Raw genomic sequence first — 18,294 nt, 5'->3', positions numbered from 1 at the left:
GGGTTTTTTCCCCTGCAGATTTTCCAATCATTGAGTAGTTGATTTTAGATACTTGTAATTAAGTCTTTAAGGCAAGATTAAGCCAAAGGACCATACACAGATATTCGTAAAGAAATGCCTCTGTTCTGTTAGGAAAGAACAGTATTTTCTTAATGTCTCCTTACTTGAAGTACTGTTGCAGGCACTGACACTTCTTTCTTCTTGGAAGATACTTAGACTCTACTTTACTACCAGAGCGTTTTCTTGTTTCCACTTATGTTTTGGGGTAAGTATTGAATGGCAAGAAAATGACCAATAGTAATTTCAGTTTTTAATTATCAACAGGTAAAAGAACTTAAACATTCAAACAAACTGGAAATAACAGACATCAAACTGGAGACAGCAAGAGCTAAGAGTGAGCTAGAAAGAGAAAGGAATAAGATTCAAAGTGAACTGGATGGTAATATGTGATTTCCCTTGCTGCTGCTGCTGCTGCTTATTTTCAGATATGAACTCAAATTATTAAAATAGTTGAATCTGAATTTTTATTTCCAAATTTTCAACTTAATTTAGTTTTAATTTTGGAGTACATATGAAATGTTTATTATATGTTGAGTGTTTTGTTCATTGTAAGATTTAATAACTTTAAAAAAATCAGTCTTATGTTTTTATCATAGTTATTGGATACATAAATGAATTTTGTAAATGGGATGCCATACTTCCTGATTTATAAATTTTAAATCTATTTATGGTGTAGTTATTAGTCCCAGGACATTTTAAGTCTGGAGAATGTGAGGAAGATAATTGGGTTCCAGGCTTAATTTTTTTCAATTAAAAAGATTTTTTTATGTAGACCTCAGGCCAGTTCATTGTAGCCTAGTGCAGAGTAGGCTTATTTATTTATTTTTTATTTTTATTTTTTATTTTTGAGATGGAGTCTCGCTCTGTCCCCCTGGCTGGAGTGCAGTGGCGTGATCTCGGCTCACTGGAAGCTCTGCCTCCCAGGTTCACGCCATTCTCCTGCCTCAGCCTCCCAAATAGCTGGGACTACAGGCGCCCACCACCAGGCTGGCTATTTTTTTGTATTTTTAAGTAGAGACAGCGTTTCACCGTGTTAGCCAGGATGGTCTTGATCTCCTGACCTCGTGATCTGCCTGCCTCGGCCTCCCAAAGTACTGGGATTACAGGCATGAGCCACGCCCAGCCGAGTAGGCTTATTTTTAAGTTCCAGTTTAATCTTGGAACATCTGTCTCATCAGATTTCCTCATTATTTATGTTGTTTCTAACTTGAAGTATTTAAATAAGCTTACCTTTGGCCTGTAGCTATGCTTGAGTTGATCTGTAGTTGAACTCATTTCAGACAGAGTTTATGATGAATGCCTTTCATGTTTTGAAATGGGGTCTCACCATGTTGCCCAGGCTAGCCTTGAACTCCTGGGCTCAAATGGTCCTCCTGCCTAAGCCTCCTCAGTAGCTGGGACTACAGGTGCTAACACCGTGTCTGGCTGCTATGAATGATTTTTTCCAATTGTTAATTTCTATTTATTGACTCATGGATTTCCATAGAGTTAAGAAGTAAATTTTTTTAGGAACTTAAAGAATGCTGCATTTTGTTTTCACTTTGAGTTAGATGTGAATTTGCTTTAGTTATTCCATCTGCAAAGTATTTGCCATTTCATTGCAAAGATTTCTGAATTCATTGTACAAACTTGAAAGTGTCCATGTTATTTATACTTCTGCTAGAGATCTAGCAATTCTGCTAGAATCAATAGGTTTTGAAGGGTTTTGTGATTTATTTCACTCTGCTATCAGCCAGCTTTTTCTATGAGGCTTAGGTCACAGAACCTCTTTAGAGGTGAAGTAAGTAAACCTCTGGTTATCATCCAGTTTGATCTCAACTCTCAATGTTCGAATGAGTAAATGTATACAGCTTTTATTAAAGTTTTTATATGTGTATGCACTAAATAAACAGTGACAGGAAAATTTGCTCTGAGTTTTAGCCTGTTTCATTCTTATTTTAAGAGTGTTTATTAATGATGTGAGTATTGTTGAGAATATATATTTGTAGAGACTTTCTACATTCATTTGTCTTACCAGCTTATGAATGCTTGCTGTTAAATGTGATTTTTCATCTTAATAACATTGAATATAGTACACTTTTCTCCTTGAAAAACACTAGGATTACAGTCAGACAATGAAATTCTCAAAGCAGCTGTTGAACATCACAAAGTGCTCTTAGTAGAAAAGGATCGTGAATTAATACGTAAAGTACAAGCTGCCAAAGAAGAAGGTTATCAAAAACTTGTGGTATTACAAGATGAAAAGTAAGTACTTAATTACCTTAGTTTGACTTAAATATCCTTGCAAATGAAAACATTTTGCTGTCATATCATCTTTATTATAGTTCTTGTAACATAATTATGATCTCTTGTTTTAGGTTAGAACTCGAGAACAGATTAGCAGATTTGGAGAAAATGAAAGTGGAACATGATGTCTGGAGGCAATCTGAAAAGGATCAGTATGAAGAGAAATTGCGGGCTTCACAGATGGCAGAAGAGATCACCAGGAAGGAGCTTCAGAGTGTTAGGTTATATATACATATATATTTAAAGTTTTTCATGTTGAAATAAGGTCAGAGTTAACAAAATGATGTACAACTAGTACAAAGAATTCCCATGTGCTCTTCACCCTGATCTCCCAAATACAAATACCTATGTAACCATATTATAATAATCAAGATTAAGAAATTAACATGAATATAATCAGGAAATCAGGCATTACTATTATAAAATCTATTAACTGTACTTAAATTTTACCAGTTGTCCCACTGATGTCTTTCTTCTGGTCTAAAACCCAATTCAGGATCACATGTTGCATTTAGTTACTTTTAATCTGGAACTTATGAACACTTTGACAAATACTTGTCAGTATTTTGTATATCCTCTCTCATTTTGGTTTTGTATTGCATTTTTCATGGTTAAATTCAGGTTAGGCATTTTTAGCAAAACATCAAAGTCATGTGTCCTCAGTGAATTTCCATGATTTGGCCCCTTAACTGGTGATTTTAACCTTGATCACTTGGTTAAGGTGGTATCTGCCACATTTTTCCCCTATAAAATTACTATTTTTTCCCTTTGTAATATATAATTATCTGTGGTTGCCCATATGATATTTCAAGTCTGTGTAAATATTCTCATATTTTGCCTTTATATAATCTTCCATTAATTTTAGTATCCATTGATAATTCTTATCTGAAACAGTTATAACTCTAGCATTTGCCAAATGGTGATCTTTCCATTTCTATGATCCTTCCTCATTTATTAGTTGGAATTCTCCTGAAAGTAAGTGCTTTCCCTTCTCCTCTAAATATATTTATATCATTATGGATTTATACATTCATATTTTTTCTATAGATTATAAGATTTTGTTATTTTTTTTGTTGCTTAACTTTTCTCAGATTTGGCTATTGGAAGATCTTTCAAGTTGAATCCCATGTCCTTTTGACATAATCCCACCATTTATTGTGACTTTTTTCTGTCATTACAGGATGTTCTGTGATTCTCTTTCACTTTCCCTGCCCCAGCCCTGGAATTAAACATTTATCTGAGGTGCTTTGATTCCTTTTTAATTGGAGAATGGCATTTAGAAACCAAAATCTCAACTCTAGGTATGCTTATTGGTACTAGAGAGTCATTGCTTCTAGGTCCTCCCAGTGAACTGAAAATTACACATTTACATCTATTTCTTTATTTTTTCTCTATATTAATAATCTTGAGTTTACATTGATATTTCCAGTTCTGTTCCAGCACCGTGGAGTTCATTCTGGTCTTCCTCTTTTCATACTTGCAATTCTTTTGACAGTGAGAAAACTGGCATTCATTATTCCTACCATATTTACTTATTTCCTCAGTCCTAAAATATAAAGTTGTTTTAGAATTGCTAACTCATCACTCAATGAAAAACAAACCTATTAACTTACATGTAATATTTGTGTATAGTTGTTTTTATCTTTAGCCTTAGAGTATATAGTCAAAATATTATTTTCCAAAGTTACTTAGGATTTTTCTCACCAAATTCTCCTTTAATGTGGTTTGTTATTCACTTATAAAGCAGGTTTATTCTTTCTATTCTATTCTGTTTTGAGTCCATACCTCATCCTTGTTTATTTATTTATTAATATGTTGGGCATTTGGAATGTCTACATGGTTCTAAAGGACAGAACTATAATACACCAAAAAAAAACAAAAACAAAAAAACAAAACCTTCAAAAAAATGCCACTTCCCACATCTCCTCTACCCTGTTCCCATTTCCCTCATCTTTTCTCATCTATCCTGCCCCATGTGAGATTAATCTCATTAGTTTCTGGTTTAGACTTCCTACATTTTTTGTTTGTTTGTTTTTGTTCCTCACAAATACCAGATGTCATTGTATTTTTCCTTCTTTCTTATCAGTGCACCCTGGAAACTGCTTCAGATTAGTTCATAGGGATTAGCCTCATTCTTTTTTATGGCTGCATAGCACTCCACTATGTGTATCTATCAGTGTTTAGTGAAATAGTCTCCTATGTTCATTTAATTTCCAATATTTTGTCTTTTTTTTTTTTTTTTTTTCAAACACAGTCTTGCTCTGTTGCCCAGGCTGGAGGGCAGTGGGGCGATCTTGGCTCACTGCAGCCTCCGCCTCTGCCTCTGGGATTCAAGTGATTCTCCTGCCTCCTGAGTAGCTGAGATTACAGGTGTATGTCACCACAACTGGCTAAATTTTGTATTTTTAGTAGGGGTGGGGTTTCACCATGTTGGCCAGGCTGCTGTCAAACTTCTGGCTTCGGGTGATCTGCCCACCTCGGCCTCCCAGAGTACTGGGATTATAGGTGTTGAGCCACTGCACCTGGCCTCCAGTATTTTGTGATTACAACTAATCAATAATGTTGTACATGTAAATATTTTCATTTTCTGGAGGTGTATCTTCAGGGTGAATTCCTGAAGTAAATAGGTGGGTCAAAAGGTAAATCATACGCAGTTTTGTTAGATATTGCCAAATTTCCATCCAAGAGAATTATATCACTTTGCATCTTAGTGTAGTTTAATTTGCATTTCTCATATTACAAATGAGATTGAACAATGTTCCATGTGTTTAAGGGCCATTTTTATATCATTTTTGTATGTATTGTTTGTTCTTGTCTTTCCCTATTATACTTGGTTTTTTTGGCCTTTTTTCCCTTGCTTAAAAATTTTTTTTAAATTACCTTACTTTTTAAGAGTTCTTTATATATTAGGATTATGCTGCAGATATTTTCTGCCAGTGTGTGTCAGCAGTCCTTTGATTTTGCTTCCGTTATTTTTTTGCCATGCAAAAATTTTTATTATGTAATCAAATTTAATCTGTTATTGCCTCTGGGTATTAAGTCAGAGTTAGTACTCTCTCCCTGAACTGAGGTTAAAGAGGAATTCACTTCTTTTTGCTTGTATGGTTTCATTTTTTACATTTAGTTCTCTGATCTATTTGAAGTGTATTCTTTTGTATGCTGTGAGGTATGGATTTGATCAGTTTTTTCTAAATGGCTAATTGATTGTCCCACACTTTTATTAAAAACCTGTCTTTGCCCCAGTGATTCATGATGATGCTTTTATTGTATTTTAAATTTCCATATATACTTGGGTATATTTCTGGACTTTCTATTCTGTTTCACTCATCTGGTTGTCTGTTCATGTGCCATTTTACATTAAAAAAATTTTTTTTGTTTTAATTTTTATTTAGAGACAGAGTCTTTCTTTGTTGCCCAGGCTGGAGTGAGCGATCATGGCTCACTGTAACACTGAACTCCTGAGCTCAAGCAATCCTCCTGCCTCAGCCTCCCAAGTAGTTGGAACTTTAGGCGCCTGTACCATTATTATGATACTTTAATTATAGAGGCTTTATAGTATGCTTTAATGTCTGGTTGTGGTACTCAGTCCTTATAGTTTTTCTCTCAGTATTTTCCTAGCTATAATTATATGTTTGTTTTTTCATATCAACTTGAATATTAATGTCTAGCTCCATTAAAAAGTTTGTTTGCAGTTTTATTGGGATTCCATTAATTTTTTTCCAATATTTGAAAATTGTTAAAATACATGTAAAAATAAAATCTACCATCTTAACTATTTTTAAGTGTACAATTCAGTGGTATTGAATACATTCATATTGTGGAACCATCATTACCATCTATCTCCAGAGTTCTTTTTAGCTTGTAAAACAAACTCTGTACCCATTAAACAATAACTCCCCTTTAGCCCATCCTCCCAAACCCTGGTAATCACCATTTCACTTTCTGTCTTTTAGGATTTTTGACTGCTCTACATACCTTTGTAAGTGGAATCAAACAGTATTTGTCTTTTTTTTTTGACTGGGTTATTTTACTTAGCATGATGTAATTACTTTTTTTTTTTTTTTTTTGAGACAGCGTCTCACTCTGTTGCCCAGGCTGGAGTGCAGTGGCATGATCTCAGCTCACTGCAACCTCTGTCTCCCAGGTTCAAGCCATTCTCCTGCCTTAGTCTCCCAAGTAGCTGGGATTAAAGGCGCCTGCTACCATACCTGGCTAATTTTTGTATTTTTGTAGAGATGCCGTTTCACCATGTTGGCCAGGCTGGTCTCGAACTCATGACCTCAGGTGATTTGCCCACCTCAGCCTCCCAAAGTGCTGAGATTACAAGCGTGAGCCACCGCACCTGCCCTAATGTTCATTACTTTCTAAGGCTTAATAATATTTCAGTTCTACATATATACTATATTTATCGATTTGTTTATGGACACCTGGATTTCTTCCACATTTTAGCTATTAATAATGCTGTTATGAACATGTGTGTACAAACATCTCCTTACGACCTTGGTTTCAGTTATTTTGGGTGTATATCCAGAAGAAGAATTACTGGCTTATATTGTAATTCTGTTTTTAATTTTTTGAGGAACTGCCATTCTATTTTCTTCAGTGGCTGCACCATTTTAAATTCCCACCAAAAATGCAAAAGACTTCTAATTTCTCCATATCTTCACCAGCACTTATTTCATGTTTTTAAAAAACTTAATTGACACACAATTGTACATGTTTACAGGGTACAGTGTGATATTTTGATTCACGTATACAATGTGTAATGATCAAATCAGGGTAATTAGCATATTCAATCACCTCAAACATTTCATATGTTCTTTGATTTGGGAACATTCAAAATCGTCTCTTCTAGCTCAAATATACAATAAATTAGTGCTAACTGTAGTCAGTCTGTAGTGCTGTAGAACACCAGAAATTATTCTTCCTATCCAATAGTAATTTTGTATTTGTTAACCAACCTCTGTCTTCCCTCCTCACTACCCTTCCAGCCTCTAGTAACCACTATTCTACTCTCTAGTTCTATGAAATAAACTTTTTAGCTTACACATGTGAGTGAGAACATGCAGTATATATCTTTGTGTGCCTGACTTATTTAATTAACAATTGTCCTCCATACTTGTCCATGTTGCCATGAATGACAGGATTTCATCCTTTTTTATGGCTGAATAGTATTCCATTGTTTATATATGCCACATTTTCTTTATCCATCCGTTGATGGGCACGTAGGTTGATTCCATATCTTGCTTACTGTGAATAGTTCTACAGTAAACATAGGAGTGCAGATATCACTTTGACATACTAATTTCCTTTGCTTTGGGTATATACCCAGTTGTGGAATTTCTGGGTCCTGTGGTAGTTCTGTTTCAGTTTTTTTTGAGACAGGGTCTCACTCTGTCACCTAGGCTGGAGTGCAGTGGTGTGATCTCGGCTCACTGTAACCTCTGCCTCCCAGGTTCAAGTGATTCTCTTGCCTCAGCCTCCTGAGCAGCTGGATTACAGGTGTGTGCCACCATGCCTGGCTAATTTATTGATTAATTGATTGACTGTTATTTTTAGTAGAGACGGGGTTTCACTGTGTTGGCCAGGCTGGTCTCCAACTCTTGACCTCAAGTGATCCACCTGCCTTGGCCTCCCAAAGTACTGAGATTATAAGCGTGAGCCACCGCACTTGGCCTGTTGTTAGTTTTTTTTGTAGAGCTTCCATACTATTTTTCTTAATGGCTATACTAATTTACATCCCCACTAACAGTGTATTAGAGTCCCTTTTCTCCTCATTCTTGACAACATTTGTTTTGTCTTTTTGACAGGCATTCTAGCTGGTGAGATGAAATCTCATTGTGGTTTGATTTGCATTTCCCTGATAAATAGTTATGTTGAACAATTTTTCATGAATGATCCATTCAGATCATTTGCCCATTTTTAAATGAAATTACTTGGGGCTTTTTGCAGTTGTTTGAGTTTCTTGTTTATTCTAAATTTTAATCCCTTGTCAGATAAATAGTTTGCAGGTGGGCCAGGTATGATGGTTCACACCTGTAATCCCAGCACTTTGAGAGGCCAAGGCGGGTGGATCACCTGAGGTCAGGAGTACAAGACCAGCCTGACCAACATGGTGAAACCCTGCCTCTACTAAAAATACAAAATTAGCTGGGCCTGGTAGTGTGCGCCAGTAATCCCAGCTACACTGGAGGCTGAGGCAGGAGAATTGCTTGAACTCAGGAGGCGGAGGTTGTGGTGAGCCGAGACCATGCCATTGCACCCCAGCCTGGGCAAAAAGAGCGAAACTCTGTCTCAAAAAAAAAAAAATTAGTTTGCAGGTATTAATATTTTCTCCCATTGTATAGGTTGTCTCTTCACTCTGTTGATTGTTTCCTTGTTGTGCAGAAACTTGGTTTGATACGATCTCATTTATCTATGTTTGCTTTTGTTGCCTGCGTTTTCTGTTGTTATAGTTGTTTCATTTATTTTGTTTTTGTATTTATATAAGGGATGGGATTTTGCTGTGTTGCCCAGGCTGGATTGCAGTGGGTATTCACAGGTGCAATGCTACTATTGTTCAGCGTAGAGTTTTGACCCACTCTATTTCTGACCTGGGTCAGGTCACCCCTCCTTAGGCATTCTGGTGGTCCTCTACTCTTGGGAGGTCATTATCCTGATGCGAAACTTAATGTGAATGCCCAATTGCAGTAGCGCACTACAGCATCTACAGCACAAAATTTCTGGACTCAGGTGATCCTCTTGCCTCAGCTTCCCAAGTAGCTGAGACTATAGGCACGTGCCACCATGCCCAACTTGTTGCCTGTGTTATTGAGGTCTCACCCGTAAAATCTTCCCCTAGGGCAATGTCCTGAAGTCTTTTCCTTGTGTTTTCCTGTAGTAGTTTCATAGTTTGGGGTCTCATACTTAAGTTTTTGATTTTTATATATGATGAGAGATGGATCTAGTTTTATTCTTCTGCATTTGGATATGCAGTTTTCCCATAATCATTTATTGAAGAGGCTGTCCTTTCCCCAATGTATTTTCTTGGTGCTTTTGTTGAAAATCAGTTATCTGTAAATATGTGGAATTATTTTTGACTTCTCTCTTCTGTTTCATTTGTGGGTGTATGTGTTTTTATGCCAGTACTATGGTGTTTTGGTTACTACAGCTTTGTAGCATATTTTGAAGTCAGATAGTGTGATAGATAGCTCCAACTTTGTTCTTTTTACACAGGATTGCTTTGACTCTTTGGAGTCTTGTGACTCCATGCAAATTTTAAGATTTTTTTTTTCAATTTCTGTGAAGAAATTCATTGGTAATATGGTAGAAATTGCATTGACTGTAGATCACTTTTGGTAGTATGGTCATGTTAACAATATTAATCTCCCAATCCATAAGCATGAGATTTCTTTTCATTTTTTGGTGTCTTCAATTTCTTTAATCAGTATTTTATAGTTTTCCTTTTAGAGATCTTTTACCTCCTTTGTTAAATTTATTCATAGGTATTTTAATTTTTATAATTATAATAAAGAAGATTTCTTTCTTTTCCAGTTAGTTTAAGTATGTAGAAATGCTACTGATTTTTGTATGTTGAGTTTTTTTATCCTGAAACTTTAATGAATTAAAAGTTCTAAGAGCTTTTTGGTGGGATCTTTAGGTTTTTCTATATATAAGATAATGTCATCTGCAAGTGGACAGTTTTGACTTTCTCCTTTTTTATTTTGAAGCCATTTATTTCTCTCTCATGCCTAATTGCTTTGGCTGAGATTTCCAGTGCTGTGTTGAATAAGATTGACAAGGGTGAACATCCTTGTATTGTTCTAGTTCTTAGGGGAAAAGCTTTCAATGTTTTTTTGTTCAGTATGATGTTAGTTGTGGTTTTGTCATATATGGTATTCATTGTATTGAGGTATGTTTCTTTTATACCTAATTTTTTTTAAAGTTTTTGTCATGAAGGAAAGCTGAATTTTTGTCAGACGCTTTTTCTGCATGTATTGAAATTATCGTTTTTTCTTCATTCAGTTGATACGATGTATCACATTTATTGATTTGCATATATTGAACCATCCTTGCATACCTGTGATAAATCTAACTTGATCATGGTGAATAATCTTTTTAACGTGTTGCTGGATTTGGTTTGCTGGTGTTTTTGTTGAGGGTTTTTGCATCTGTATTTATTAGGGATACTGGCCATAGTGCTCTTTTTTTTGTTGTGTCCCTGTCTGGTTTTGGTGTCAGGGTAATGCTGGCCTCGTAGAGTTTGGAAGAATCCTCTCCCTTTCAATTTTTTGGAATAGTTTGAGAAGAATTAGTATTAGTTCTTTTTTAAAAGTTTGGTAGAATTCAGCAGTGAAGCCATCTGGTCCTGGGCTTTTTTTCTTGGGAGACTTTTTATTGATGATGCAGTCTTGTTACTCATTATTGATCTGTTCAGGTTTTGTATTTCCTTCTGTTTGGTTCAGTCTTGATAGGTTTTGTGTGTTTAGCAATTTATCCATTTTCTCTAGGTTTTCCTATTTGTTGTCCTACAGTTGCTCATAATAGTCTCTAATGATCTTTAGTATTTCTGTGGCATCAGCTGTAATGTCTGCTTTTTCATTTTTGATTTTATTTATTTGGGTCTTCTCACTTTTAGTTAGTCTAGCTAATGTTTTGTCAATTTTGTTTTTTCAAAAAACCAACATTTTGTTTTGTTGATATTTTATAGTTTTTTAGTCTCCTTTTTGCCGAGACCAGCTCAGTTGGGGAGACCCTAACCCAGCGGCACTAGAGGGATTAGAGACACACACACAGAAATATAGAAGTGTGAAGTGGGAAATCCCCTGATTTCTCACAACCTTCAGAGCTGAGAGCCCTGAACAGAGATTTACCCACATATTTATTAACAGCAAACCAGTCATTAGCATTGTTTCTATAGATATTAAATTAACTAAAAGTATCCCTTAAGGGAAATGAAGGGATGGGCCAAATTAATTGCAGCAGGAACACACCCTTAAGACACAGATGCTCAGGCTTTTGTTTGTGGCTTAAGAATGCCTTTAAGCAGTTTTCTGCCCTGGGCGGGCCAGGTATTCCTTGTCCTCATTCCCATAAACTCACAACCTTCCAGCTTGGACTTTATGGCCATTATGGACATGTTACATTGCTGCAGAGATTTTATTTATGGCCAGTTTTGGGGCCAGTTTATGGCCAGACTTTGGGGGGTTGCTCCCAACATGTCTCCCTTCTTAGATTTGCAAAGAGATAAAAGCAAGGGCAGCTTTGTCATGGTGAGCTACTTCTTGCAGGAATCAGGCCAGTTTTTTGGAATTATAGCAGGAGAAGGCAATCCTGGCTGTAATGCTCCCATAGGTTGTATAACTGAATTGGTGGCTCTTAAGTCAGTGAACATTTTCCATTTTCCTGATTTTTTCTTAATTACGAAAATTGGAGAATTCCAAGAAGAAAATGTTGGAGCTATGTGCCCATTTTCTAATTGTTCAGCAACTAATTTCTCTAAAGCCTCCAGTTTCTCTTTACTTAGCAGCCATTGTTCTATCCAAATTGGGTATCTGTTAACCATTTGAAAGGTATAGGTTCTGGAGGCTTAACAATGGCTGCCATCAAAAATTTTTCCCTAATGTTTGGCGGGAACTTTGTTTTTTCCACTTGAAGTGGTTCTTTCAAACCTTGCAATTTTTTTTTCTAGTCCCGTACCAGGGACATACCTCATTTCATGCATTGTATATTGACTTTGAGGGCTATATAATTGTTCTGGAATTAGAACTTGTGCTCCCCATTGTTGTAATAAATCTCTTCCCCATCAGTTTATAGGTACAGAAGTTATAATTGCTTGAATAGTCCCAGGTTGTCCATCGGGCCCCTCACAATGCAAAATATAACTACTTTGATATACTTCAGTGACTTTACCAACTTCAACTATGTTAAATTGAGCAGGTTGAATTGGCCACGTGGATGGCCAGTACTGTAGAGAAATGATTGAAATGTCTGCTCCTGTATCTACCAAACCTTTACATTTCTTTCCTTCAATAGTTATTTCACAGGTAGGACATTTATCAGTAATTTGATTTACCCAGTAAGCTGCTTTGCCTTGTTTATTTGTGCTTCCAAATCCTCCTGTTCGTTTAATTTCACTTTTTCCCATTCCCACATACGGCACAATCAGGAGCTGTGCTATGTGCTTTCCTGGCTCTGCTTTCCAGGGAACAGAAGTAGATATAACAATTTGAATATACCCATTATAATCTGAATCAATGACTCCTGTATGTATTTGTACACCTTTTAAACTTACACTAGACCTTCCTAAAAGTAATCCTATAGTCCCTGCTGGCAAGGGTCCACAGACTCCTGTTGGGACCTTTTGCAGGGGTTCCCCAGGCAGAAGGCTCACAGCTTTTGTGCAGCATAAATCTACTGTGGAACTACTTGCTGTGGCAGGGGACAGACATTGTACAGGGGTGAGGGAATGGCCTGTGCTGGAAATGCCCCGGTTTAGAACAGGGCCCGAGACGGCTCCCTCATGGCATTTCCCGAAATCGGATTCCCTTCTTTATCAAACTTAGAGTGACACTGACTAGCCCAGTGTCTTCCTTTTTTACATTTTGGACATATTTCTGGCTCAACAGTTTTCTTTTTTCCCCTATCTGGTGGCCTGACTCGCTGATTTTTTCTACATTCTTTTTTAGTATGACCATGCTTCCCACAGTTAAAACAAGCTCCAGGAAATGGAGTATTTCCTTTATCCACTCTCAGTCCTGCCATTGCCTGTGCCAACAAGGTAGCTTTATGCAGATTACCTCCGATACCATCACAGGCCTTGATATAATCAACTAAATGTGTTTTCCCTCTGATAGGTCACAGAGCAGCCTGGCAATCGGGATTAGCATTGTGGAAAGCTAATAACTGCAACACTATATCCTGAGCAGCCAAATCTGCAATCATCTTTTTAAGAGACTCCTGTAACCGAGCTATAAAATCAACATATGGTTCCCTTGGTCCCTGTTTTATAGCACTAAAGGAAGGGTATTGTTCCCCACATTAAGTGATTTTTTTTCCCCAAGCTCTAATGTGCACACCTCTAAGTTGTTCTATGGCATCATCCTGCATGACCAGTTGTGCATCTAAACCAGCCCAGCCGCCAACCCCCAAAAGTTGGTCTGCAGTTATATTAATTTGAGGTTGGGCCTGGGCATTGCGAGCAGCCCAAATGGAAGCTTCATCTGCCCACCAAATTTTAAATTGTAAGAACTGAGCAGGAGTTAGACAAGCTCGAGTAAGAGCGTCCCAGTCAGTAGGAATCATCCGACTGGAAACAGTAACATTCCTTAACAGTCCCATTACAAAAGGAGAACCTGGTCCATATTGACTTATTGCTTGTTTTAGTTCTTTAAGTAATTTAAAAGGAAAAGGCTCAAATATAGCTGTAATATTTCCCTCTTGATCTGGGGGATGTATTCTAACAGGGAACTGCCAAGCCTCTAAATCACCCTCTTGTCTAGCTTGCCGAATTCCTGCCTAATAGAACTAAGAGCCATCGCTCGAGGCGCTGCTCGAACAGTCACTGGGGCAGCTATTTTTCACCCAGTGTCCTCTGGAAAAGAAAGATCTGGGGGGTCATTTTCCTCAAAAAATAATGAGGGGGTGCAGAAGGGTAGGGATGAACCTGTCCTTCCTTTGCCGCTTTAGCTTTAGCTGGCAAATAAACATGCTCTGTAACCTCTTCTGTTACTTCACTATACTCTTGTTCCTCCTTGTTATCAGTGTGAAAAAGTTCTAAGATGAAACGAACCAGACCCCATACCTATCCCATTGTTACCCTGATGCTTCAGAGCTCCCCTTCTTACTCACCACAGGGATTGCTTTAAGAGTACTCGGGTGTCCTCCAGCTAGTTTTCTGTTCCCAGCCGTCGCTCTGGCGACCCTTCGACCTGGATTCGAGCCCCCATGAATGGGCGCCACTTGCCGAGACAGGCTTGGTAGGGGAGACCCTAACCCAGCGGCACTAGAGGAATTAAAGACACACACGCAGAAATATAGAGGTGTGAAGTGGGAAATCAGGGGTCTCACAGCCTTCAGAGCTGAGAGCCCTGAACAGAGATTTACCCACATATTTATTAACAGCAAACCAGTCATTAGCATTGTTTCTATAGATATTAAATTAACTAAAAGTACCCCTTAAGGGAAACGAAAGGATGGGCCGAATTAATTGCAGCAGGAATACGCCCTTAAGACACAGATGCTCAGGCTTTTGTTTGTGGCTTAAGAATGCTTTTAAGCGGTTTTCCACCCTGGGCGGGCCAGGTGTTCCTTGCCCTCGTTCCTGTAAACCCACAACCTTCCAGCTTGGACATTATGGCCATTATGGACATGTTACATTGCTGCAGAGATTTTATTTATGGCCAGTTTTGGGGCCAGTTTATGGCCAGACTTTGGGGGGCTTGCTCCCAACATCTTTTTGTAAGTTTCTGTACTGATTTTTACGTTTTAGTTCTCTCTACTAACTTTGGGCTTTGTTTGTTCTTGTTTTTCTTTTCTTTTTTTTTGAGACGGAGTCTCGCTCTGTTGCCCAGGCTGGAGTGCAGTGGTGCGATCTGCTCACTGCAAGCTCTGCCTCCTGGGTTCACGCCATTCTCCCGCCTCAGCCTCCTGAGTAGCCAGGACTACAGGCACCTGCCACCATGCCTGGCTAATTTTTTGTATTTTTAGTAGAGATGGGGTTTCACGGTGTTAGCCAGGATAGTCTCGATCTCCTGACCTCGTGATCCACCCGCCTTGGCCTCCCAAAGTGCTGAGATTACAGGTGTGAGCCACTGTGCCCGGCCTGTTCTTGTTTTTCTAGTTCCCTGGGGAACATGATTATGTTGTTGATTTGAAGTTTCTGTACTTTTTTGATGTAGGCATTTATTGCTATAAACTTTCACTCTTAATTCTGCTTTTGTGGTATTCATTGCATAGGTTTTGGGTATGTTGCATTTTTATTTTTATTTATTTGTTTTTAAGAAATTTTTCTGTTTTTTTTTGTTTTGTGTTTTTGAGACGGAGTCTCACTCTGTAGCCAGGCTGGAGTGCAGTGGCACGATCTCAGCTAACTGCAACCTCCACCTCCCAGATTCAAGCAGTTCTCCTGCTTCAGCCTCCCGAGTAGCAAGGCGTGTGCCACCACGCCCATATAATTTTTATATTTTTAGTACAGACAGGGTTTCACCATGATGGCCAGGATGGTTTCGATCTCTTGACCTTGTGATCCTCCTGCCTCAGCCTGCTGAAGTGTTGGGATTACAGGTGTGAGCCACCACACCCGGCCTTCAGTTAATTTTTTAATTTCCTCCTTGACTCATTGGTCATTCAGGAGCATGTTATTTAATTTTCATGTATTTGTACACCTTTCAGAGTTCTTCTTGTTACTGATTTCTAGTTTTATACTGCTGTTGTCAGAAAATATACTTGATATATTGATTTTTAAAAATTTATTGAGACTTGTTTTGTGGCCTAACATATGGTCTGTCCTGTGGAATGCTCCATGTTCTGATAAAAAGAGTGAATATTCTGGCCAAGCATGGTGGCTCATACCTGTAATCCCAGCACTTTGGGAGACCAAGGTGGGCAGATCACTTGAGGTCAGGAGTTGGAGAGCAGCCTGGCCAAAATGGTGAAACCTTGTCCCTACTAAAAATACAGAAAAAAATTGATTGGGTTTGGTGGTGCGTGACAGTAATCCCCGCTACTCGAGAGGCTGAGGCACAAGAACCCAGGAGGCAGAGGTTACAGTGAGCCGAGATTGTGCCACTGCCCTCCAGCCTGGGTGCCAGAGCAAGACTCCATCTCAAAAAAAAAAAGAAGAAGAAGAATGAGTACTCTGCATTCTCCAGCTACTGGATGAAATGTTTTACAAGTGTCTGTGAAGTCCATTTGGTCTACAGTGTAGTTTAAATCTATGTTTCTTTCTAGGTGATCTCTCTAATGCAGAGAGTGGGGTATTGAAATCCTCTACTATTATTGCATTGGTGTCTATCTTTCCCCTTAGATAATAATTATATTTGCTTTAATATATCTTGGTTCTCTGGTGTTTGATGCATACATATTTACTATTGCTAATCCTCTTGCTGAATTGGGTTTTTTTTTCCATTATATAATGAACTTCCTTGTCTCTTTACAGCTTAAAAACTTTTTTTTTTTACAGTTCTTTTTACAGTGTGACAAACTTTTCACAGTTTTTGACTTAAAGTTTATTTTATCTGATATAAGTAAGTTGCTTCTGTTCATTTTTGGTTTCTCTTTGCATGGAGTGTTTTTTTTTTTTTCCCCCACTTCGTTTTCAGACTATGTATGTCTTTATGGGTGAAGTGAGTTGTGTTTAGGCAGCTTATATTTGGGCTTTGAGTTTTTATGCCTTTACCCAGTCTATATGTCTTAATTGGGGGATGTAATCTGTTTACATTCAAAGTTATTCTTGGTAGAGAAGGACTTAGTCCTGTCATTTTGTTAATTGTTTTCTGGTTGTACTGTAGATCTTCTGTTTCTTTCTTGCTCTCTTAATTGTTTATCTTTGTGGTTTGGTGGATTTCTGTAGTGACAAAGTTTGATTTCTTTCTCATTTGTATATCTATCTGCTCTACTAGTGAGTTTTATACTAGCATGTTTTCATGATGTTAGTCATTGTCTTTTCATTTTCAGTTGTAGGACTCCCTTAAGAATTTCTTGTTGAGTAGGTTTAGTGGTGATGAATTGTCTCAGTTTTTGCTTGTCTGAGAAAGACTTTGTTTCTTCTTCATTTCTGAAGATAGTTTTGCTGGGTATAGTATTTTGGAATGGAAGTTATTTTTCTTTCACTACTTTTGAGTATAACATTCTGTTCTCTTCTTGCCTGTAAGGTTTCTCTTGAGAAATCTGCTGTTTGTCTCACGGGGATTTTCTTATATATGACTTGATGCTTTTTTCTTGTTGTTTATAGAATTCTCTCTTTGATTTGATTTTTGATGTTTGAGTATAGTATGCCTTGGAGAGGACCTTTTTGGGTTGAATCAGTTTGGGGTCTTTGAGCTTTTTGGATTTGGATGTTCATCTCTCTCCTAAGACTTGGGAACTCTACAGTTATGATTTTGTTTACAACGTTTTTGATACCATTTCCCATCTCTTATTCTTCTGGAATTTTTATAATGTGAATATGTGTTCACTTAATGGTGTCACATAAGTCTCATAGGCTTTCTTCATCCCTTTTATTCTTTATTATTATTTGTCTGACTGGATTATTTTAAAAGACCTGTCTTAATGTTCAAAAATTCTTTTTCCTGCTTGATCTAGACTGTTCCTGAAATTCTTGATTGTATTTTTAATTTTGTTCATGGAATTCTTCAGCTCCAAGGATTCTGTTTGGTTCTTTTTTATGATATCTGTGTCTCTCAGATTTCTCATTCATATCATTTTTTCCTGATTTCGTTGAATTTTCTATCTGTATTCTCTTGTATCTTTCCAAGTTTCCTTAACATTGTTATTTTTAATTTCTTTTCAGGCATTTTTTAGATTTCTTTTTCGTTAGGGTCTATTACTGGAGTATTATTGGGTTCCATTTGAGGTGTCATGTTTTCTTTTTCATGTTTCTTTTTTTTTTTTTTTTGAGACAAAGTCTCACACTGTCACCCAGGTTGGAGTGCAGTGGCACAATCTTGGCTCACTGCAACCTCTGCCTCCCAGGTTTAAGCGATTTTCCTGCCACAGCCTCCCAAGTAGCTGGGATTGCAGGCACCCACCACCAAGCCCAGGTAATTTTTTGTATTTTTAGTAGAGACGGGGTTTCAGTATGTTGGCCAGGCTGTTCTCAAACTCCTGACCTCGTGATCTGCCTGCCTTGGCCTCCCAAAGTGCTGGAATTACAGGCGTGAACCACCACGCCCAACTTTTTTCATGTTTCTTGTGTCCCTATGTTATGGGTGCATCTGGTAGAATAGTTGTCTCTTTCTATTTTATGGA

The 18,294-nt window shown here is 37.7% G+C and overlaps 1 protein-coding gene and 1 pseudogene across 36 annotated transcripts in view; one reads left to right on the top strand and one right to left on the bottom strand.

Moving 5' to 3' along the window:
• The window catches only part of CEP83 (centrosomal protein 83), a 194,793-nt gene that overhangs the window by 90,094 nt on the left and 86,405 nt on the right, over nucleotides 1–18,294 (top strand). For 28 of the 36 annotated variants that reach the window (XR_007063082.1, XR_007063081.1, XR_007063083.1 and 25 more), the window contains 3 exons: nucleotides 325–439; nucleotides 2,160–2,304; nucleotides 2,418–2,567. The exons of 1 other annotated variant lie outside the window; for it this stretch is intronic. Coding sequence is in view for 28 of the 35 variants with exons in the window: in XM_047428923.1 (XP_047284879.1) it covers nucleotides 325–439; nucleotides 2,160–2,304; nucleotides 2,418–2,567 (410 nt within the window). In the remaining 7 variants the exon portion in view is untranslated. Of the gene's footprint in view, nucleotides 1–324; nucleotides 1,967–2,159; nucleotides 2,305–2,417; nucleotides 2,568–3,526; nucleotides 3,592–18,294 lie in introns of those variants that run through there. 7 more of the 36 variants (NR_144441.2, NM_001368042.1, NM_001346462.2 and 4 more) reach the window with 2 other exon arrangements.
• Nucleotides 8,835–9,141, bottom strand: RN7SL330P (RNA, 7SL, cytoplasmic 330, pseudogene; annotated as a pseudogene).

The sequence above is a fragment of the Homo sapiens genome, chromosome 12, assembly GCF_000001405.40.
Source record: "Homo sapiens chromosome 12, GRCh38.p14 Primary Assembly".
NCBI lineage: Eukaryota > Metazoa > Chordata > Mammalia > Primates > Hominidae > Homo > Homo sapiens.
The sequence above is the reverse complement of the archived record's forward strand: the minus strand, read 5'-3'. Positions and strand labels throughout refer to the sequence as shown.